Consider the following 25,306-nt stretch of genomic DNA (forward strand, 5'->3'; position numbering starts at 1 on the left):
GTGGCTCACACCTGTAATCCCAGCACTTTGGGAGGCCAAGGTGGGAGGATTGCTTGAGTCCAGGAGTTTGAGACCAGCCTGGGCAACATAGGGAGACCCTGTCCCTACAAAAAATAACAAAAAATTAGCCAGGTGTGGTGGCCCCACCTGTAGTCCCAGCTGCTTGAGTGGCTGAGGTGGGAGGATCGCTTGAGCCTGGGACGGTGAGGCTGTAGTGAGTCATGATAGTGCACTGCACTCCAACCTGGGTGACCCTGCCTCAAAAGAAACAAAACAGTGTTACTAAGTCCCTTGACTATTCTCTATCATTGTAGAGGCCTTGAGCTTCCTCACTCTTCGTTCACCAAACTGCTGACTCACTAGGAATTAAATCAGTTTAGTCCTTCTCCCCAGCACAGATAGAAAGCAGTTCCTTCTCTTCACTTCCACTCCTGGGAGAAAGAGAAGGAATCCATGCCTGTATGAAAACCATGAAGAAGGCCGGGTGCGGTGGCTCATGCCTGTAATCCCAGCACTTTGGGAGGCCGAGGTGGGCAGATCACGAGGTCAGGAGATCGAGACCATCCTGGCTAAAACAGTGAAACCCCGTCTCTACTAAAAATACAAAAAATTAGCCGGGCGTGGTGGCGGGCGCCTGTAGTCCCAGCTACTCGGGAGGCTGAGGGGAGAGAATGGCGTGAACCCGGGAGGCAGAGATTGCAGTGAGCCGAGATCGTGCCACTGCACTCCAGCCTGGGTGACAGAGCGAGACTCCATCTCCAAAAAAAAAAAAAAAGAAAAAGAAAAAGAAAACCATGAAGAAACAGACAGAAAATGTTGAAATCAGGAGCACAGCCTCATGTTCTTTCAAGTAAAACTGTTTAGTTTCAAGATTTTTAAAAGGCTGCCTCCTTTCAGGTGTGGAGCTCTATGTCTCTGTGGGTTTCCTTTGGCTTAATTGCAAATCTTAATGCTGAACTGAGCTACAGGGATCAGTGTCCACATCAAGGGATTCTTGACGGAAGAGCTGACCCTGGTTTTCTAACTCACTTTTTTTCTTTTTCTTTTTTTTTTTTAATTTTATTATTATTATACTTTTAGGGTACATGTGCACAACGTGCAGGTTTGTTACATATGTATACTCACTTTTTAAGGGGCCAGTTGTAAAAGAGATGAAAAGTATGAGTGATTTAATATATTATCCTTTGTTGCATTTTTAACCACTGCTTTACCTTCATTTGTTTAGAGACTTCCTTTTGGAGCCATCATCTATTTTTAAAATTTTGATTCTTATTTTAATTAATTTATTTTCAGGTGGGATCTTGCTATGTTGCCCAGGGTGGTTTCTAACTTCGGGGCTCAAGAGGCCCTCCTACCTCAGCTTCCTGAATAGCTGGAAATAGCTGCTTGCCACTGCGCCCAGCTCTTTTTTACTTCAACTGACATAATAGTTGTATATGTTTATGGAGTACAGTGTCATATTTTGAAACCTGTGTACAGTGTGTAATGATGGAATCATCCTCTTGATGAACTATATCCTTTGTTCCCTGAGCCCCTTGTCCTTGTTCTTGTCCTTTTTGTCCTCAGTATTGGGAAGCACCTCAGTTCTCTTTCCTGGACTGCTCTTTAAGAGTCCCCATGAACTATAAATGATACTCACTAAATTGAGTACACTTAAAGTGCTATCTTAGCTCAAGATGTTATAATGAAAATACTGTAGCCTAAACAACAGGAATTGATTTCTTATAAATCTGGAGGCTGGACATTCAAGATAAACATGCTGGCCAATTTGGTTCCTGCTGGGAGCCCTTTGCAGACAGATAACTTGCTGTGTCCTCCCGTGGTGGAGAGATTATTTCTTGTGCCTCTTTATAAGGGCACCAAACCCATTTGTGAGTCTCCACCCTAATTACCTAATTGACTTCATTATCTTACAAAGGTTACCTCCAGATAACATTACATTGGAAAATTGCACTTCATTGTATAATTTGTTTTTTGGCAGGGACAGAAACATTCATTCCATAGCAAATATAATTTGGCAAATTTTGACACACACACACATATATATATATATATATATATATATATATATATATATATATATATGCCTATGAAGCCATCATTATAATCAAGATAATGAGCTAGTCTATCACCACTAAAAGTTTGCCCCTTTTTGTAGTTCTTCCCTCATCCTTAGACACGTACTAATCTGCTTTCTGGCACTATAGATGAGTTTGCATTTTCTGGAATTTTATATAAATGGAATAATATAATACGTGTGTGTGTATATATATATATATGTATTACATGTACATTTTGTCTGGCTTCTTTTACTCAGCATAATTATTTTGAGATTCATCCATGTATCAATTGTTCACTTATTTTTATCACAAGAGAATATTCCACTGTATGAAAGTAACATAATTTGTCCATTTCCCTGTTGGCTATTTGAGTTGTCCCTAGTTTGGAGCTATTGCGAGTAAAGCTACCATGAACATTTGTGCACAAGTCTTTGCTTGTATCTACACTTCAGTTTATCTTGGGTAAATACCTAGGAGTGAAATGGCTGGGTCAGTTGTTGGTTGTATATGTAATTTTTAAAAAAACTGTGATACTGTTTTCCAAACTGGTTGTACTGTTTTACATTCTCACCGGCAGTGCGCAAGCCTTTCAGTTCCTCCAGATTTTCTCCAACATTTGGTTGTTCAATTTTAAAATTTCACCCATTCTGATAGATGTATGGTAGAATCACATTGTGATTTTGACTTGCATTGCCTTAATGACTAATAATGTTGAACATATTTTCATATGTTTATTTACCATCTGTGCATTGCCCCTGAAATGTCTGTCCAAATATTTTGTTCATTTATTGTTTCCTTGTCGAATTTTGAGAGTTCTTTATGTATTCCAGATTACAAGTCCTTTGTTAGATATGTGATTTGAAAATATGTTTCGTTCTGTGACTTGTCTTCTCATTCTCTTAGTATCTTTTGAGAAAAGAAAATTCTAATTTTGATGAAGTTATATTTATCATTTTTTTGGAGGATAATAATTTTGTTATCATACTAAGAAATTTTTGCCTAACCAAGGTCCCAGAGAGTTTATGTAAGATTTATAGCTTTATATAAATGTCTGATCTGTTTTGATTTAATTTTTATCTGTGGTGTGAGGTATGGATCAAGGTTTTTTGTTAAAATTGTGCCAGTACCATGTATAGAATTACCTTTGCAACTTTGTTGTCAATCTGTTGACCATATGTATGTAGGTTTATTTATGGACTATTCTTTTCCATTGATCATTTTGTCTATTTTGTCAATACCACATTGTCTTGATTACAGTAGCTTTATAAGAACTCTTGAAAACAGGTAATATAAGTCCTTCAACTTTATTCTCTTTCCAAACTTGTTTGGCTCTTCTATGTTCTTTGCATTTTCATAGACATTTTAGAAAAATTTCTTCAAAAAAGCCTTCTGGGATGTTTACAGAAGAAGGTGATGCTCAGCAAGGCTTGCAGCAGTGAATGAGAATGGAAATGGAGGGAGGCTGGGCACGGTGGCTCACACCTGTAATCCCAGCACTTTGGGAGGCCAAGGCAGGTGGATTGCTTGAGCCCAGGAGTTCAAGACCAGCCTGGGAAACATGGTGATACACCATTTCTATGAAAAATGCCAAAAAAAATTAGCCAGGTGCGGTGGTGCATGCCTGTAGTCCCGGCTACTCAGGAGGCTGAGGTGGGAGGATGGCTTGAGCCCAGGAGTCTGAGGTTGCCATGAGCCAAGATCACGCCACTGCACTCCAGCCTAGGTGACAGAGTAAGACCCTGTCTCAAAAAAAAAAAAAAAGAGCAAAAGAAAAAGACATGGAGGGAAAGACAAATGACAGACTTGGTGCCGACTGAATGTTTTGGTTAAAGGAGGCAGATGTCAAGTGTTAAGGTGGTGCCTAAGTTTCTGACCTGAGTAATTGGTTAACTGGATTGGCAGTAGTATCTTCTCCAAAGAAGGAATTACAGAAGGAGGCAGCATTTTGATGTGGAAGAGAGAGAAGTCCATTGCTTCTGTTGAATTTCAAATGATGCCAGTGGAAAACCACCTGGAGATGGCATGTTGGAAGCTGGAGACATAAGTTTACGGGGAATCATCCGTGTATGGGGTCCATGAGATCACGTGGTGGTGGGAGAACACAGGCCCAAGATAGAAAGTTGAGGATCATTATCTTTAAATTATGACCTGGAGAAGAAGCAGCTACGAATTTTTAGGTTCTTGTAAACATTTTAAATGCCTTCATTCAGGTACGGTGGCTCACCCCTGTAATCCCAGCACTTTGGGAGGTCAGGGCGGGCGGATCACCTGAGGTCAGGAGTTCGAGACTAGCCTGGCCAACATGGTGAAACCCCATCTTTACTAAAAATACAAAAATTAGCCGGGCCTGGTGGGGCATACCTGTAATCCCAGCAACACGGGAGGCTGAGGCAGGAGAATCGCTGGAACCTGGGAGGCAGAGGCTGCAGTGAGCTGAGATTACACCACTGCACTCCAGCCTGGGTGGCCGAGTGAGACTCCATCTCAAATAAATAAATACATACATGCATACATACATACATACATACATACGTACGTACATACATACCTTCATTCAACATGCACAGTGCCGCATGGCTCTATTTGATCATTAAAAGTATTATAGTACTTCCTTCTTTTCCCTGATCTCCATTCACACTCTTATTTTCCTTTTCAAGTCTAGCATCTTTGCAACAGAGTCTATACATTAAATACAGTAAAACAAGGGCCCCTGCTACTCATTCTCATAGTTGAGTAACGTTGCTCCAAAATGCCACTATTTAGAAATTGTCTTGTATTCTTTAATTACTGAATGAAAGACTCCTGGTGCAATTTAAGTTTTTATTTTGTGTTTCTCTAAAGGGTATAAAATAGAAATCAGAAGCTTAAATAATATAAATAAAAGCAGGACAGCCTTGTTGAGGGTGAGGAGGGGAGGGTTGCAGCGCATCACCATTACTGCAAAGTGGACTTTGAAGTGGCTTGCAGAGAACTTTAATATTTTGAGGAGCACAATTTGAATGCTAGTCTAATGGTTTTAGTATTTTATAAATAAGGAAACCAAGGCCTGAGTTTCCTTCAGATTAAGTGATTTGCTGTTTGTCTCACTGCTAGTTAGAGTAGAGGTGGAATTAGAGCTAGTAACTCCTGATTCCTAGTCTCATGCTCTTTTTGTAGGATGGTGATACTGCCCTAGAGAACCACTTCCATTAGTCACCAACCCCACTACCCCTCACACCACTCCTGTCAATACTCTGGGTTATTAAAGGTGAAAAGAAAATGGCAGGGAAAAGAAAAAAAAAACTGATGTGTTTCCCTTGTTCTAGATGTCCAAGCTCTGTGGCTTACCAGACTGACGGCAGGTGCCCTGCCATTTTCTGAAGGGATGTTCTATCTGGTTGTTTATTAGTTACCATCTCTCTCTATTTAAGCAGCTTCAGGGCCAACTGACTCTCGGTGTCACAGTGGGAATTTGACATTTCTATTTCTCATTTGTAATTTAGGGTACGTTGACACATTTAATTTCGTAATTGTGTACTTAAAAAGTGAGTAAACTAAAGTTTATTAGTGCTTTATGAAAACTGAAAATACTCCCGAAGACTAACATTATATTTGGTGAGCCTCCTAATGAGGAATTAGAAGACTTGATTCAATCATAATATTATCTTACTGCTTATTTGAATTTACTAAGTCCTTGGCATTATACTAAATGCTTCATTTTAGGGATGAAGAAACAGTTCGAAGGGGTGATGACATTTGCCAATGTTTTGGAGCTAATAAGGGCTGAGTTTGGATTGAGAATCCTCAACATTCTGAATTGTTGGGTGCTTTTATTCCTAGGATTATTTCAGGCTTGATATCCTGCTCAATGCTCTATTTGTATTTGCCTCCAGGGAATATTCTCTTTCCTCTATCCCAGTTCAACACCCTCACTCCAGTTTCCTCCTCTGTAAGCCATTCTCCCAAGGTTTCTGTGTGTTCACCACTCATAACTGAAGGTTGCCAGGGTAGGATGGAAAGGGTAGGGCCTGAGGCGGGAGAGGTTGTAGAAGAGGAAAGAACATGGCAGTGGAGACTTACAGCAGAATGAACAACTTTAAAACTGAGCATTAGATGACATTTCTGTTTTGAAAATTGCATTGATCACCCTATCCCTGGAAATTCTGCAGTGACCACCTTTGTTGAAAGGCCTAGAGCTCCCTGCCATCTCCAACATACTCACGCAGCTCCTGTACATGCACTCAGAAGTCGGTTTGTGTTTTAAATAACTTCTTTAAAAATCTCATCACCAAATGCTGTTGATCATAGTTTACCTACCAGTAAAATAGAGATGAGGTCCATTTGACCTGCTTCAATTGGGATTCTCTCTTGAGGATCTAATAAAAATGATGGAAGTTGAAATGTTTACAAATATATATGAAATGCTACGCTCGTGTAAGATATTACTCTTACTGTTGATGCTTTAATTGAAATCAAATTTAAAAAGGGACTCAACAGCTGATCAGAATCTACATGGAACTAACACCGTGATCTCCCAGTTAAGTGGCAAAACATCTGATTTTAGGGGTATATTTCTGATTTAGAAAATATGGGAGCTTCTTTTGTGTCTTTTGTTTAAAGTTATCCTTTGTATTATTAGTAGTAGATTTTAGCGAAGATAGTCAAACTTTCCTAACAAAGAAGTATAGCAGTGCTAAGATTTTCAAGATAAATAGTAGTTTCTTTGTTTCAGATTATGTCACTGAGATTTGACACACTGAGCAATAAATGAATGTATTGGCCAGCCTGTGCTTTTTTAAACGTGATTTTGCAAAGTAATTTGTCTTTTTAATTTTAGGAAACAGATATTGATGACAGATATGGAGATTTGGATTCCAGAACAGATTCTGATATTCCGGAAATTCCACCATCCTCAGATAGAACCCCTGAGATTCTCAAAAAAGCTCTATCTGGTTTATCTTCAAGGTATGATTGGATGAAGATGAGTATATCTTAGTGCACAAGATAGGCTTTGAGGTTATCCTTGTCCATGTAATAAATTTGGCTTTTTGTAAGTTTTCCAGCCATGGTATTAGGTGGTCAAAAAGGCCACCTAATATCCGAGGTATAGTTCTATGTATTTAATGTGTATCCACCCTTAAAACCTTGTGAAGTATAAGAAAACCAAGGCTGAGAGGTTAATTGTTGAAGGCTACAGAGCTAGTAAGATATAGACCTGGGATTCTTGCCTTGGGCTGTCAGATTCTGAAGCCTGTGATCTATTTACCACGTCACATTGCTTTTTCTGGTATTAGAACACCTAATAAAACTCCATAGTCTCTGTTCCCTATTTTTCAAATGCCAGACAGAAATAGGTATTTTTTTCTTTTTTCTTTTCTTTCTTTCATTTTTTAAATAAGATGGGGTTTTACCACATTGCCCAGGTTGGTCTTAAACTCCTGGGCTCAAGCAGTCTGCCCACTTTGACCTCCCAAAGTGCTGGGATTACAGGCGTGAAACATGGCACCAGGCCAGTATTTTCTTTTCTTTTAACTGAGTTTAAGATTATTGTCTAAAACTCCACAATCCATTACCATTTTATATTTGTGCAACATTTAAAAATGTGTGATGACCACAAAATTTCAGCTAATTATATTACCCTTCATTGTATACTTTAGTAATATGAATTATAAAATTTATAAAAGCAAAGTAAACCTAAGCTTTTGTCCAGATTAATGTATGAAATGTTACATATTGGTGTAGAAAGAACAATGTTTCCCCAACTTTTTGACACTATGACACAGTAAGAAATACATTGTATACCACATTCCAAGACACACAAATGTATATTTTAACTGCTGCAAAAATGTTATGAAACAATTCTTCCCATTACTGTGTAATACCCTCTGATTTCTTTTGTATTTGATGCTGTTCTATGTTATTGAACAAAAAATGCTACATGTAACTTATTCAATGGATTTTACTACCCTTGGGTCATAGCCTGCGATCTGAAAACCACTAGTTTAGTCGTATCTAGTAAATGTAATATGAATTTTTCTTTTTTTTTTTACTTTGTAAGGGATAACCATATTAGAATATATTGGTTAAAAGCAACATTTTCATATTTTTTAACCAATAGAACATATCTTTGATCTGCTATGAAAAGCATGATTATTTTAATAGTTCTTGTTCCCAGTTGTTTTCATGACCTAATTCCCAGATATAACTTTGCATTAAAATCTCATCAAGTCTATCTCAGACCTGAAATTTTGTGTAGTCGATGTTCTGTAAGAATGATGCCAGATTTGTGTGTGTCATTCATAATAAGATCTTCCTTAATCATGAAGTTGTTTTTTTCTGATATAAAGTAACAATAGCAAATACTAGCAGCTAATATTTATTTAGCATTTACTATGTACTAGTATTGTTTCAGGCACTTTATATGTATTGACTAATATTCTCATGGCAGCCTTGTAACACAGGTATATAAATGTGGAAACGTAGGCAGATATTATATATCAAGGGTCATGTAGCTAGTAAGTTATGGACCCACATTCTGAACCTAGGTACTGTGGCTTCAATGCCTGTATTCTTATCTATGCTATTTATGAGTGAATTGGTTTTAGAAAATGAACAATAGATAATATAGTGGTTTCAATCTTCTCGAGAAACTTTTCTACAAAGATTACATGAATGTTTTACATGTAATCTGTTTTATACATTTTTATCCTGTTTTTAGTCTAATATTGAAAACAGACTGTCTTGCAAAGACTTAGAATTTGTAGATACATAGGATTAAAAATAGTAATTACATAAGAAATGTACATTACTTGCAGAAAAAAAAATCCTGTAATCCTCCTACCAAGACATTAATATTTAGAATACTTCAGTGTTTACCCTTTGAGGCTTTTTTCTTGTGCAGTGTGTGTGTGTGTGTGTGTGTGTGTATGTGTGTGTATGTATGGATGTGTGTAAAGCAAAAATGAGATTGTACTGTTTTCTACCTTACTGTTTTAATTTTCATTCCATGGTATTATTAGGAACAACATTTCATGCAGGATCCTAAATATATTTCAGAAACATTTTTAATGTCTGTATATTTTGCTGCATGGCTATGGTCTAGTTTATCCAACTGACCACCTATTGCTGGGCATTTAGTATATTACTAAATGTTCACAATTAAAAATACCTCTACATTAAACATTTTTCTTTGTAGTAACTTTATTTTAACATCCATTAATTATTTCCTTAGGATAAAGTCCTAAAAGGGAAATCCCTTGGTCAAGTTTTATGCCCTTCCCTTACTTTTTTTTTAAAACAGGGTTTCACTCTGTTGCCTAGACTGGAGTGCAGTGGTGCAGTCTCAACTCACCACAACCTCTACCTCTCAGGCTCAAGCAATCCTCCCACCTCAGCCACCCAGGTAACTGGGACTACAGGCATGAGCCAACATGCCTGGCTAATTTTTGTATTTTTTATAGAGACAGGATTTTGCCTTGGCTTGTGGTCCTTTATTTACCTCTGACTAGATTTGCGACCTAGCCCAGTTTTCTAATCCATCCATTAATCCACAAACAGTTATATCTGTACAACTACATGGGGCCTTTTAGCCATAGCATTTTTGACTCTACACTCATTTTTAGTTCTGCCTCATGCTCATGCTCTCATGAGAAGTTTATGTCTACATAGTTTGTTAAACAATAGAGGGAAATAAAGTTGAATGAATGCAATTTGACTACCTTATGAAGAAACTCATAAGCTGGAAAAAAATGTATGTTGTTGGTATGTTGGTATTTTAGATCCTGTGTGTAGAAATGACATGATAAAAGGAATATTTGAAAAGAGTATTTGTTGGAAGTATTTAAACTATATTGGAGAGTGGTTGAAAGCAAGGAATGTAATCTTTTTTTTTTTTAAGAGACAGTATCTTGCTCTGCCACCCAGGCTGGAGTGCAGTGGCACAATCATGGCTCACTGCAGCCTTGACCTCCTGGGCTCAAGTGTTCCTCCCACCTCAGCCCCCAACATGCCCCGCCTCCTCTCCCCCCACTCCCCCCGCCCCTCAGTATCGGGGACCACAGGTGAGTACCACCACGCGCAGCTAAGTTTTGCATGTTTTGTAGAGCTGGGTTTTTACCGTGTTGCCCAGGCTGGTCTCAAACTCCTGGGCTGAAGCAATTCTATACCTTATGAAGGCAGCTAATATTTCTGTTCTAAGAAGGGAATGAGGGCTGGACATGGTGGCTCACACCTGAAATCCCAGCACTTTGGGAGGCCAAGGCAGGAGGATCACTTGAGCCCAGGAGTTAGAGACCAGCCTGGGCAAGATAGTAAGACCCTGTCTCTATTTTTTTTTAAAAAAAAGGAGTGAGGACTTGTGCTTAGAATACACTGCATATATGTTACTAGACTTTAAGTTGAATCAAAATCTCTTGTAACATAATTTAAATGCTACCAGTTGAATTAATAAAAATCAGAAAAGTCCTAAAGAAAAACAGCGACAATTCTAAATATAGAAGTCATCATTTGTATATAGGAGCATTCAGAAATTCTGGATTTTTCATACAGAGCTGCCAACAGTTTATATGACATGGTAACACAAGGAGTGATTATTTGTATGGCACAATGGGGATGAAGTGTGAGGCTTGTGGCGGTGGTGGGGTGCGGTCGGGCATGCCAGGCCCTTACAGCGAGGGTTGAGGGAGACCAGTTCTCAGCATGGCAAGGACCAGCTGGTGTACCAGCAGGAAAGCTCTGCTCTGAGGAGCAAAGAAAGGCCCAAGGATAAAGAAATACTTTGTTTTTTGGAGACGGAGTCTCGCTCAGTCGCCCAGGCTGGAGTGCAGTGGCGCGATCTTGGCTCACTGAAAGCTCCGCCTCCCGGGTTCACGCCATTCTCCTGCCTCAGCCTCCCAAGTAGCTGGGACTACAGGCGCCCACCACTATGCCCGGCTAATTGTTTTGTATTTTTAGTAGAGACGGGGTTTCACCGTGTTAGCCAGGATGGTCTCGATCTCCTGACCTCGTGATCTGCCCACCTCGGCCTCCCAAAGTGCTGAGATTACAGGCGTGAGCCACCACGCCCGGCCAAGGAAATACTTTTACTAAAGGCTTTGTCCCTAATCAAAGAAAGCAGTCAATACACTTTGAACAACAGAAGTGTCCTTCCATCTGTCTTTATCCTCAGTGGCTGACCTCTTAGGTAACTGGCACCTCACTCCTTCATTTCACTGAAATCACTGTTCTTTCCAGTTTTAGTTCGGTATTATCTTTCATTACTTATTCTCATTGGCAGTCCATGCTGTCTATATCATATTCTTAAAATCATGACTGTATTCATCTGCCATCCTAATTGGGCATCATCTCTTTTGAGGGCTTTTGTACCTGGCTCGTTCTTCCCCTCCATGTGGTCCCTGGTGGGATGCCTGACTTTCACATCCACCCTGACCACCTAACGTCCTAACCTCACGGTTTATTCCCCACTCACATTTAACAAAAATTATTTTCTTTCTGGCCGGGCGTGGTGGCTCACACCTGTAATCCCAGCACTTTGGGAGGCCGAGGCAAGCAGATCATTAGGTCAGGAGATCGAGACCATCTTGGCTAACACAGTGAAACCCCGTCTCTACTAAAAATACAAAACAATTAGCCGGGTGTGGTGGCGGGCACCTGTGGTCCCAGCTACTCGGGAGGCTGAGGCAGGAGAATGGCGTGAACCCAGGAGGTGGAGCTTTCAGTGAGCCGAGATCACGCCACTGCACTCCAGCCTGGGTGCGACAGAGCGAGACTCCGTCTCAAAAAAAAAAAAAAAAAAAAAGAAAAGAAAAATTATTTTCTTTCTTGGCTAACATAACTTTAAAAGTTAATTTATCTCCCAGTGTGTGAATGAATGCTGTTTGTTTTTTGTTTTTGTTGTTTGTTATATAAAGTGAAGTAGTAGAATCTTATAGTTAAGGAAAATTCATAAATCTGGCAAATCAATACTGAAACCACACAAAAAACCTTAAGAACACGTTAAATACTAACTTTACATTTTCTTTGTAGGTGGAAAAACTGGTGGATACGTGGAATTCTCACTCTAACTATGATCTCGTTGTTTTTCCTGATCATCTATATGGGATCCTTCATGCTGATGCTTCTTGTAAGTTTTTGACTTTTCCCTGAGTGTCTCTTGCTTTGTTTTTCAACATTTATATAGGATTGAAGTAATTTGAGCATATCATAAAAAAGAAGCTAATTCAACACTCAGTCACAGAATATTTAGTTCCTTTAAGTGTCTTTTATTTCATGATATGATCTAACTTAATCTTTTCTGTTTGCAAAATGACTATTCAGTGTGTTCATTCAGCAGAGACCAAGTTTGTATAACAGGTACATATCTATGTGTCTGACATTGTGCCAAGCATATTTTATCAAAGATATGACATGAGCCTGGGCAAAAAAACACAAGCCTGAGACCTCGTCTCTACAGAAAGTTTTAAAAAATAAGCTTGGAGTAGTGGTTCACGCCTATAGTCCCAGCTACTGGGGAGGCTGAGGTGGGGGATCACTTGAGCCTGGGAGGTTGATGCTGCTGTGAGCTGTGGTTGTGCTACTGCACTGCAGCCTGGGCAACACAGACCATCTCAAAAAAAAAAAATGACAGAAATACACACACATATAACATCAACATATGACTATTAGCTAGATCCCTGATTTCAAGGAACTCAGTGTAATAGGAAAAACATACAAGTAACCATATGAATAAATAGCATGATAAATAAGCGAGATAAGTTCTATGATAGAACATGTTAGGAGTGCATGGTAGAAAAGCACCTAATCCAGTCTGAGGGAGGGATGAGGAGGGGCTTCCAGAAGAGACAGTGCCGAAGCCGAGTCCTGAATACTGGACAGAGGAAGGAATTCCAAAGTGGAGACATCATGAGCGGGGCATGGAGGTAGTGAGAGGATGCGGTCCATTGGAAGATCTGCAAGTTGCACATGTAGAGGGTGTCTATATAGGGCACTGGAGAGGCAAGGAAAAACCATTCTGGGAGTTTTGGATTTTGGTGTGTGTGGGAAGCTCAGTAAGTCAGGAAGCCAAACAAGTATTTAAACCCTTCATTCATTCGTGTAACAAACGGTTCCAAGATGCCTGCTATATGCCAGGCATTACGTTAGTTCTAGGGATGATACAGTGGTACTGAGAAAAATGTACCTGTCTCTGCCCTCATGGAGCATACTATCTGCACTTTAAAGAGCTGATTATGTATTTACAGTGAGATGCCACCTGATGACATTTTGGTCAGTGATAGACAACTATACGACAGAGGTCCTATAAGATTATAATGGAGCCAAAAAATTCCTGTTGCCTCATGATTTTATTCCAGTTGCCAACGGTATTCAGTAAAGTAACATGTTGTACAAATTTATAGCCTAGGACCAATAGGCTATACCATATAGACTAGATGTATAAGAGGCCATACCATCTAGGTTTTGTAAGTATACTCTATGATGTTGGCACAACAACGAAATTGCCTAACGATGCATTTCTCAGAACATACCCCCTTGTTAAGCAACACATGACTATATATAATTACAAACTACAATAAGCATTTGAGAAAAAGAATAATACTAAGAGAGCAAAGACGGAGCTGGGAGACTTTCCAGAGGCACAGTGCCAAGCACGTGGGCTGCAATCTGAAGGTTGAGTGGGAATCAACAAGGTAAAGGATGGAGTCTTGGGGAGGACCATCACAGGCAGAGGATTTCTGTGGGCAAAAGCCCAGATATTTAAAGCATGAAACATTTGAAGCCCACAAGTGTTGGAACCGAGGAGAAATGCATTTGTTCAATGCATTCATCAAGCACTTAGGCAGTGCTGAGCATGGTTTGACAGCACACAGTGAGAGCCTGCCCTCCGGGGTGCCCTGTGGCCTTCTTTATTGGTATTATCATTGTTATTACTTTTTCTCATTCCTTTTCAGTTAATCCAGGTTCTTCTTATGTACTCATCTCCTTCATCTCTGATTTCTCTTGCCCACTTAGAAATGTGTTTATCCATTTTGCCAATCTCCCTCCATATTCAATTCTATTCATAGCTCATAAGCTTATGAGCTATATGATATGGTTTTCCTTTTATTTTATAAAAGAATAAGTTTTGATGTGAAATTAGACATGATGAAAAAAAATTCCATCAGCTCTTGAAGCCACTTAAAGTGGCTTTTATAAGCACCTCAAAGCCTCTTTCACTTCTCTTTTTGTCCTCTCATTAATTTTTCACTTCCTTGGGGAAATCAAGTAATGAAAATGAATAAGAAGTTAATTTCTTTTTCTGCTAATTTGCTAAGATCTTAAAGTGCTTTTTCTCACAAAGGAAAAATGGATAATAAATAGGACAGACTTAATGTGAGAGCAGAGGAAGCGGAGCTTGAAAGCCAAGTGGGCAGGCGTGGGAAATTGTCTGCATTTGATTCCAGGAAGAGGCCCCCAGCTCCCAGTCTTCTGTCGCTGAATGTGCCAAGGGCTAAAATGATCACCATTGGCCCTGGGACTTGGGCATTTAAGAAGCAAGTGTGTGCAGAGCACTTTTCAATGCTAGGTGGTGAGTGGGCAGGCTTGAGGAAGAAGGGACCAAGTGAGAGCAAGGAGTTCCACAAGTCTTTGTGGGTGAAGGGACCTTTGAGTATGATTTTGGGCAGTGTATCAGGGTGGAGGCAGCACTGTGAGCAAAGGTCCAAGTGGCTAGAAGTGTGCCACTTGGACCTTTGCTCACGGTGCTTCCTCGGTGGCAGAAAAAGGTGCTTTTTCCTTGAGCACAGGGCTGAAAAATAATTAGAGATCAGATTCTGGAGGGCCTTGCTATGTGGAGAAGTTTGGGTTTTATTTGGGAAGCAGTAAGGAGAAGTATTTTGGGAGAATTTATTTGGAATTAAGAATTAAGAAGAATTTATTTGGGAAAGGTAAGGAGTAAGAAGAAAATGTTGATCTAAGATATCAGAAACCACCAGTATCCTAGATACAGTGACTTCGGCAGGTTTGGTGGGTTCCCCTGTGATTTACATTTTTCTCCAAACTGAACTGTTGAGTATAATAACTAGGGCAAGAATTTGTGGATAAAAACTATTTTCTAACCACTCTTTAAGACAAAATTCAAGACAGTTTTAAAGACATGCATGCATACATTTGGATTCTGATTTTTTAAGAGAACCATAAGTGTGCCTACGGTACTTGAGTTTTTTTGTTTATTTTTTTCTACTATGAAAGGAAAATATGATCTTATTACTAGTTATTTGCTTCAATTGGTGAGTTTAATTAAAGAAGAAAATAAGAGTATTAAAGATCTGGCCAGGTGCGGTGGCTGACGCCTGTAATCTCAGCACCTTGGGAGGCCGAGGCAGGTAGATCATTTGAGGTCAGTTTGAGACCAGCCTGGCCAAAATGGTGAAACCTCGTCTCTTTTAAAAATACAAAAATTAGCCGGGTGGTAGAGGCGTGTGCCTGTAATCTGAGCTACTTGGGAGGCTGAGGCAGGAGAATCGCTTGATCCTGGGAGGTGGAGGTTGCAGTGAGCTGAGATCACACCACGGCACTCCAGTCTGGGTGACAGAGTGAGATCCTGTCTCAAAAAAAAAAAAAAAAAAAGAATATTAAAGATCTAAGTAAAGTAGGTTTGAACTGTTATTGGTTATTTAAGTTTATTACATACACATACATGCATAGATATATATATATATATTATGTTTTTATGATATTTGTGTTAAGAGAATATGGATGATTCACACATATAGTTGGTACTCAATTGATATTACTTTATGTGTTTTAAAACCTTGTTTCTATTCCTATTCTTAACTAGATCATTTATATTTTGAGAAGGACATGTTGTATCTAGCTTGCAGTTGCCTTATAATGTCAGCACTCAAAAATGACTAATTCAATATAGTTTTATTAAAAACTTCTAGGAGGTCGGGCACAGTGGCTCACGCCTGTAATCTCAGCACTTTGGGAGGGTAAGGCGGGCAGATTGCTTGAGGTCAGAAGTTCAAGACCAGCCTGGCCAACATGGTGAAACCCTGTCTCTACTCAAAATACAAAAAATTAGCTGGATGTGGTGGCGCACACCTGTAGTCCTAGCTACTCAGGTGGCTGAGGCAAGAGAATCACTTGAACCCAAGAGGCAGAGGTTTCAGTGAGCCGAGATCGCGCCACTGCACTCCAGCCTGGGCGACAGAGTGAGACTTTGTCTCAAAAAACAAACAAACAAAACTTCTAGGAAATTACAGGTACTATTTTAATATGGAATGCATACCCATGTTCCTTAAAAGGCCTTCTATTTGTAGTTTTTAAATTGTATTCACAGCTTAGAATCATACTTTCTAAGTGATGGAGTTACTAAAGCATGTTTTGATTTAAAGGCAGATGTGAACATATAGAAGATATTGAAAGAGGTTTTTTCCCCCCCTGCCTTCTTGGAAACTGTTGTCATTAACTTTTAATTCGTGCTATGTAGTTTACTTTTAAATAGTGTGTTTACTTTTTCCTATTATGAGAGTTGTATACGTGTGATCAAATTACTTTGGAAAATAGATAATTAAAAATAATCATTCCAACCCTATTGTTAACCACCAAAATGCAGTTAGTAGTGTTACATTTTATTTCATCACTTTTTGCTTAATTTATATGTTTTTAAAACTGTGGTCATAATAATAATGTGACTAACATTGTGCATCCTGCTTTTTAAGCTAAATATCACATCAAAAATTTTGTGGCCAGGTGCGGTGGCACACACCTGTAGTCTCAGCTATTCGAGAGGCTGAGGCAGGAGGATCACTTGAGCCCTGAAATTCCAGTCTGAGTCCAGCCTGGATAATATGGCACAACCCTATCTCTAAAAAAACCAAACTTTTAAAAAAAAGTTTTGTGTTGTTCTGTGGTCTTTATAATCATTAGCTTTACTAGATTGTCTGCTTGATGGAATGTAGTTCATCATGGAGTTATTCACTTACAGTGAATGAATATCTGAATTCATTCAGTGCATCATTTAAAGTTATTCAAATCATTGTGTTATTTGTAGACATTCAGGTTATGTTCTTTTTTTTATTGTGAATAACACTATCATGAACATATTAGAACATAAATATGCTCTAACTTTATATGTGGGAGTATTTTCTTAGAAAAAATTTGCAAAGTGAAAATAGACACTTATTTGAATAACCCATAGGTACTCAATATAGTTCATACTCAAAATGACCAGATCTGAACTTCTAGTCCATACCTCGGCCATCCAGAGTAAATCTGTTGTCAAAGTTAAATAACAATACACAGACAAATCTCTATGCAAAGCATTTTATTTGGGAATGTATATATATTTTTTAAAAAAACAAAATTGCACTTCAGAGCATATACCCAGACCAGGGTGGTCTTTGATATGTCTAAAGAATAAAGAGAAGGTTGGGAGTTTTATTAAAGAGAGAAATGCTACATATTGTTTTGAAAGAAAGCCCATTAGCACTAGTGCACTTTTGGGGAGTTGGCAGGCTCTGACTGGTGAGTGACAGTGGTGGCAGGTAAAATTAGTCTTAGAGTCATGGCACATTGTTGTTTCAGCAGCCACCAAGTAAAACTGGTCTGACGGTATGGCCAGCTGTTTCAGAAGCTGGGCTTTGGATAATTCGTGGAGCAGGTGCTGTGTGCCCTGAGTGCTTTTTCCGCTTGGCCCCTCAACTCTGATCTTAGTTGAATATGACAGTTGACCCAATTTGTATAATTCTTTCATATTGTCTACTTTCCCAAGCCTTCCTTGGTGTTATTTTGTGTTCCCTTTTCTCCCTTAGCCCCTCAATTTCCTCACGCACCATGTCTAGTCAGTTCTACCCCCTATACTTCTCTCCTGTCTTCTTCTCTACTCCGCTACCACTTCACCTGGATAGTGAAGTGGCATCTTGCCTCCTGACTGCCTTGACTCTTGTCACCGCCCCAGCCCACTGTTTCCACCTTATTCTCCCAAACTCTCATGTCCAGTCATGTTGCTTCAACTCCTCGGTGCACTGCTTCCTGCTGTTTCCTAGGATTCCAGGACCAGGCTCATCTCTCTCTCCTTCTTACCCCCACCTTTGTCTTCCAGCAACTCCACCCTCCTAGTAGTTCCCTTAATACGCCCCATTCCCTCTACAGGTGGTGACTCTGCAGATCCTCCTCCTCTGGCTCTGCCGTTGCCCACCCCCTCCCCCTGCCACAGGTGTGTCTGCCTCTACACACGTCCATTTGCCTATTTCACATGGGTTGTAGTCGTGTTTCCTCCCTGAGAGACTGTACCTCTCTGTGAACAGATGCCCTATGTTATTTCTATAAGTCCTCAGTAACTAGTAAAGAGTAGACACTTAAATACTGACTTGTTTTTAAGGTTCTTGAAACATTAATTGGGCCAACAGAGTCCTATGAGTGTACATTGCTACCAGTGTTGATGGTGTGGAGTATTAATTTCTGTGTAATCCTCCAGTCCTGGAAGATACACATATAGTTGAAGGATTTCAACACTACTATTTGGAACCTTTTGTTTTCTGTTTTCCTAGAAGTTCCATATTAATTGTCCTTGCAAGCTATAGTTGATGATCATATAAATATAATGCGTGTTATTAAAAATACTTTTGTTCTCTCCTCTCAGTAAAAGAAATACAATTTATAGTGCCAGTGGATGTACCCTAGCAAATATGTTCATAGAAATTACATCAGTATGATATTTTAAAAGCCCTTTGGATCTGACTAACTTTGCTTTACCGTTTTATCTTAATACTAAACATTGTCTCCGTTCTGTATTTTTGTTAGAAATGACTTGATATTATATACAAAGGTTATTTGAAGAAGGACACTTAGATTTCCTCCTGTCTTTATAACACATTTATGACTTTTGCCTACAAGTACTGTTTATGGTTTGACGTACTTTTCTTTATCATGTGGCTGGAAAGACACATTTACTTTTTAAAGTATGTGATTGGACACGTAATCAGTATAATGGGAAAAAATAACTTAAAAATACCCTGAATGGTAGGTTTTGGAAAACTAACTTGTGGAAATCTTAAAAAGAAATCCCGGAATATATCCTCTGACAGAGTTTGGTAAGCTTTTTCTGTTAAAGGACCAGATAGTAATATTTTAGGCTTTAAGGAGCTGCATATGTTTCAGTCACATAATATTTTATTTTTAAATAACTCTTTAAAAAATATAAAAATCCATTCTTAGCTCAAGGACAGTATAAAAACAAGCCCTTGGGGTGTGTTCTCTAGACGCTGAAAAGCTAGTCTGCTGTATTCACAAAGATTTTTACCTCTTAATTCATGATAATAAGTGTTCAACTTGCCATTTGCTCTTTGAGTCTTGGAATCGACAGGTCAAGCACCGGGTGTGATGCTACATCTTGAGAAATTACCTTCACCCAGGTTGCTGAATGCAGCAGTTTGAAGGACTACAAAATAGAACATCAAAAAGGGATTTATAAATCTAAACCCGTTTAATAGGTGTGCAATCAGGACACTGTGTAAACAGAAATGCATAAACTCAGTTGACTGGCCAAAGTGGCTGCAAATGTGGAAGGTTGCTTATACTTTGCTAAGGTAGCCCAGCTTAGATTGAGCAGCCAGTAGCTGGCTATGGGAGAGTTGACACAACTGGGAGGATGAAAAGGCCATTCCAGGGTGACTGGCTAGAAAGTGTTCTAACTATTTGTCCTGACAGTATCTTTATTATTTGCAGGTATAACAATGCATGGTTACAAATAAATATGTGCAAGCAAACTTTCATATATGATTTTCTTAGGGTATCTCAAGAAACATAATGGACAGGTTGGACAAAAAGATTCTCCATCTTGACAAGGACAATCTCAAGAATGAAGTAGTAATGAGGGATAAATCCTAGTCAACTGCGGCCAACCAGACTATATCCCTCAAACTTTAAACTCCATTGCCATTCCCCACCCCAGGAAGGATCTTCCAAGCCTTTTTGAGTAAAACATTATTTTGCCTACCCCTTTGAGTTATCACTTGATTTTAGAGACATGGAATATTGCATTTTTTACTGACATTTAGCATAATTAAACATTGGTAGATTAAGATTTTTTAAATACATATGACAAACTGCTTTATTGAATGATTAAGCACAAATGTAAACATTGAGAAATGTATGTTAATGTTTTCTCTTGGTTTCAGGTTCTGGGCATCCAAGTGAAATGCTTCCATGAAATTATCACTATAGGTTATAGAGTCTATCATTCTTATGATCTACCATGGTTTAGAACACTAAGTTGGTAAGTAAGCTTGAAACTATTTCAGATATGAAAAGTTAATTTCTGAAGTTTGTAAAGGAAGCGTCTTGATCAGTCAGTATCCACTCAATTTACCCTATAGATTGATTCTAGAGAAAGATAAATAAAAATAATGTAATTGAATTTTGAAAAGATCACCTTTGTCTTTCCTACTCCAATACAACTTTTTTCAGATCTCATATTTTAGTCTTTGTAGAGATATCTAATATGTGAATATATACACCATTCTTGTCCTTTTTTTAATAAAAAACTAAACATTGTATTGGAAACATTTTTGTATCCTTTACAATAATAATTTTAGCAAAATATTTACATATAATCTTTTCCTTCATTTTCCTTCATTTCCTCTCAGTTGACATGATAACATACAACATATTGTATATATACAAATGCACATAAAGTTAGTAACAAAATCACCATAATGATATTAACATTTAAAATTTTATATCTTTTAAAACTTTTCATATATAAATCATTGCTCTCAGAACCTTGACTAGGAAACATGATAACATTATAGTTCATATTTAACCCAAGTGGCCATCCTTTTTAATATAGTTGATAAATATCAACCAGGGAGTCAGTGTCTTTTTAAAACAGATGGGGTTTAGAATAGTCAAAAAGAAGTGTCTTGATTTCGGTGATAGCTGATTTTTCCTTCTAGCAGGTTTCTTCACGAGTGGCAAAGTATACAGGAAATGTTAGATAGATAAAGTAATTGGAGAATAATTAAATGTAAAACCATGCAGTATTGATTCTAAGTATTATTAAGAAGAGAAGATAAATAAGGATGGGCTCCAGTGATTGTAGAAGGTGTCAAACAAGAGGTAAAAGATAAACTGGTATTTGAAATGAAGACAAGTTTTGGATAAAGAAGAGTTTTCTAGTTGGGGATGTAGCACCCATCAGTTTCTAGATGTGGGACAGATGTACTTATACTACCGTTGATGAGACATTCCTGGCCCTTCTGAGCAGATGGTATTGATTAGCGGACAGTGGGTAAATAGTTGGATTGGTAGACCAGGTTAGGCCTTGATTGCCTTACAGAGGAAGCATCCCTGCTCATCTGGAGTCCACTAGGAGCATTAGAAGAGGGGAGATACCAGTGTGTGCAGGGCAGTGGGGAGACAGGTTGAATTACCTCTTCTTTCTTTCCCTCCTAATCTTCCTGAGGACAGGTGGGGATTTGTCTTAGGACTTCTACTATTAAAAAGCATTAGAGCTGTGAGTAGTTACGAGTTAATTTTCATTATGAACTTAATCCCTCAATATATACACCCACACATTATACATACATACAAAGTATTAAAATCATACACACACACAAACATACACACATTATACATACACACAAAGTATTAAATTTATACACACACACACACACACACACACACACACACACACACACACTGCTCCCGCCTCCCAAGGGTGAGGGATTGTGTGTGTGTAGTATTTTCTACATTGTTTCCTAATTATCTCTGGCATTAGATTTTCAGCTAAATAAAGGTATGAACTATGTTTGGTAAATTTTTGCTAATCAATAAATTTGAAATTAAGTTTAAAACAGGAAAATAGCATTTTGGTAAAATATATCTTGAATTGGTCTTCTGAACTTTGTTTTGATCTTTGTGTCATCAGAATGTAGAAAATAATTTTGTTGAGTTTGAGGGGAAGGAAAGCTTCAAATATAGAAAAGCTAATTGTTTTTAAATTATAGGTACTTTCTATTGTGTGTAAACTACTTTTTCTATGGAGAGACTGTAGCTGATTATTTTGCTACATTTGTTCAAAGAGAAGAACAACTTCAGTTCCTCATTCGCTACCATAGATTTATATCATTTGCCCTCTATCTGGCAGGTAAGTTAAGGAATATTCTGTATTGATATATAGTTAACATATTTTCCATGTTTATTTTTATTTCTGTTATTTTAATTAGTAATTTTTTGGTTAAATTTTATTCCAGCCTCTCTTTTTCATTGTTTCTTGTGTATAAAGCTATTTCTTTCATCATGTTCTTAAATAGCAATTACTCCCTTATAGTGGGTTTAAAAAGTGCTTGTTAAGAATCACTCCAGGCCGGGTGCGGTGGCTCACTCCTGTAATCCCAGCACTTTGGAAGGCTGAGGCAGGTGGAACATCTGAAGTCGGGAGTTTGAGACCAGCCTGACCAACATGAAGAAAGTCCGTCTCTACTAAAAATACAGAATTAGACGGGCATAGTGGCACATGCCTATAATTTCAGCTACTCAGGAGGCTGAGGCAGGAGAATCGCTTGAACCTGGGAGGCAGAGGTTGCCGTGAGCTGAGATCACGCCATTGCACTCCAGCCTGGGCAAAACTCTTATCTAAAAAAAAAAAAAAAAAAGAAAGAATCACTCCATATGTTTGAAAATTTTCTTTGCAAATTGTAGTAAAAAAACTTTTAAGTAAATAAAAATTATTAACCAAATTTAATTTATGAAAAAACTTTCACATATATATTGCTTTATTTGTCCCTAGGAAATAGAGCTTTTTCATGTAGAACTAATCAGGGTAATTAGTTGTTTTTTTTTTTTTTTTTTTTTGAGATGGAGTCTCACTCTGTCGCCCAGGGTGGAGTGCAGTGGTGTGATCTCAGCTCACTGCAAGTTCCACCTCCCAGGTCCACGCCATACTCCTGCCTCAGCCTCCCGAGTAGCTGGGACTACAGGCCCCCGCCACCACACCCGACTAATTTTTTGTATTTTTAGTAGAGACGGGGTTTCACCGTGTTAGCCAGGATGGTCTCAATCTCCTGACCTCGTGATTCGCCTGCCTCAGCCTCCCAAAGTGCTGGGATTACAGGCATGAGCCACCGCGCCTGGCCTAATTAGTTTTTTAGACATAGTTTATAATATATGCAACTGTTTATAGTATGCTATGCCACATGTTTTTGTAATTTTTAAATTAAAAATTAGATTCTTAAGATAAAGTTAGAATTTACAGATATCTTTTCTATGAAATTTTACAGATCATAAAAACCCCTAAGCAATTGATTTTTTTAAATGTGCTTTTTAAAAGCCAGATTGCTCATTTGAATTCTGGACCTACCAATTACTGGTTGAGTAAACAGTGAGATATTTGGGCTGGGCGTGGTGGCTCATGCCTGTAATCCCAGCACTTTGGGAGGCCAAGGTGCACGGATCACCTGAGTTTGGGAGTTCGAGACCAGCCTGACCAACATGGAGAAACCCCGTCTCTACTAAAAATACAGAATTAGCCGGGCATGGTGGTGCATGCTTGTAATCCCAGCTACTTAGGAGGTTGAGGCGGGAGAATCGCTTGAACCCGGGAGGCGGAGGTTGCGGTGAGCCGAGATCACACCATTGCACTCCAGCCTGGGCAACAAGAGGGAACCTCCATCTCAAAAAGCAAACAAACAAACAAAAATGAGATATTTAATTAATTTCTCTGTGCTTCAGTTTCTTTGTAAAGCACTTAGAATAGTACCTGGCACTACTTAAATTTTTTTTATTGTTATTTTCACTTTAAAAGAAGGACATGAAGTTTGTTTGTGAGTTTTCACCTTAGCTGTTACTAGTTATTGTTTTAGCTCCTAGGAGTTTCCCAATAAATGAATTTTTCTCCTGGTACAATCTTAGAAACTGGGTAATTCTTTTCCATTTCTCTTTAAAAATATACAGAGTATGTGGGGAAGCATGTCCAGTCCTGTAGAAGTATGCTATTTCATTAAATAGTTATGATGTTCTTCTTGGTGCCCCTCAGCTCCTTCAGTTCCTAGGCCTTCTAATTCTAAAAAGCCAGAAAGTGAAATACAATCTGAAATGGTAATGGGAATTTTCAGAGAACTTGTTTTTATGTAATGAGGAGGAATACATTTTCGAATAATTTTCCACCTTTTACATTCAGGTTTTTTGTTACTTTTTAAAATTTTAAATTTCATTTTATTTTCCCAGAGATTAGGTCTCCCCATGTGGCCCAGGCTGGTCTCGAACTCCTGGGCTCAAGGGATCCTTCCGCCTTGGCCTCCCAAAGTGCTGGGATTACAGGCACAAGCCACTGCACCCAGCCTTTCATTCAGGTTTATTGTTCAGTTCAGCTTTCCAAATTTGTTCCTTCATTTAAAAAAACTTTTCACTGCTATATCTATAGAAAGTACATTCCTAGAAATAGGTATTGAAAAATTTCTACTCTTTTACTGGTACTCATATGATGGTAGTTGGTCCATTTTAAATTCTGACCAGTTGGAAGGATTATGATCATGGAGAGATTATGATTGTTATCAGCTAAGAAGACCATACTAAAATTTTGGAGAGTAAAACACTTGACTCTGATTCTGTGTTTATCAAAGCACATTTGTGCATTTTCTTGGTATTCTTTGTAGAAACTTTGAGTATTTTCTCTCATTTACCAAACCAGTAAGCTTGATTTATTTTGTTAAAGGTAAGGTAGATTCTGGAATGGATTCTTTTTTTATTATGGGAGAGAAGAATGTAGTACCTTCTCAGTTTATATTTAAGGTAACAAGACTTCTGGCATTTTGAGTTTTGATGATAATACCAACAGTCAAAGAGTCTATGGTATCTTCTGTTATTGAACCCAACACTTTTGTTTCATGTGATTATTCTTGTAATTATTTAAAACAACTGCGGGCCAGGTGCGGTGGCTCACACCTGTAATCCCAGCACTTTGGGAGGCTGAGGCAGGTGGATCCCTTGAGGTCAGGAGTTTGAGACCAGCCTGGCCAACATGGCGAAACCCGATCTCTACTAAAAATACAAAAAAAAATTAGCCGGGTGCGGTGGCAGGTGCCTGTAATCCCAGCTATCTGGGAGGCTGAGGCAAGAGAATCGCTGTAACCTGGGAGGCAGAAGCTGCAGTGAGCTGAAATCATGCCGCTGCACTCCAGCCTGGGCGACAGAGCGAGACTCCATCTCAAAATAATAATAATAATAATAAAAGAACAATTGTGGTTAATTAAAACATAAATCATTTCTATCATTAATATCTGCACATT

At 38.6% G+C, this 25,306-nt stretch overlaps 1 protein-coding gene across 6 annotated transcripts in view; it reads left to right on the top strand.

Moving 5' to 3' along the window:
* Positions 1-25,306, top strand: part of CDS1 (CDP-diacylglycerol synthase 1) — a 68,208-nt gene that overhangs the window by 14,240 nt on the left and 28,662 nt on the right. For all 6 annotated transcript variants that reach the window (NM_001263.4, XM_005262687.4, XM_017007650.3 and 3 more), the window contains exons 2-5: positions 6,877-7,004; positions 12,063-12,159; positions 20,198-20,295; positions 22,028-22,167. In NM_001263.4, the coding sequence (NP_001254.2) occupies positions 6,877-7,004; positions 12,063-12,159; positions 20,198-20,295; positions 22,028-22,167 (463 nt within the window). The remainder of the gene's footprint in view (positions 1-6,876; positions 7,005-12,062; positions 12,160-20,197; positions 20,296-22,027; positions 22,168-25,306) is intronic.

Source organism: Homo sapiens, chromosome 4 (genome assembly GCF_000001405.40).
Source record: "Homo sapiens chromosome 4, GRCh38.p14 Primary Assembly".
Lineage (NCBI taxonomy): Eukaryota > Metazoa > Chordata > Mammalia > Primates > Hominidae > Homo > Homo sapiens.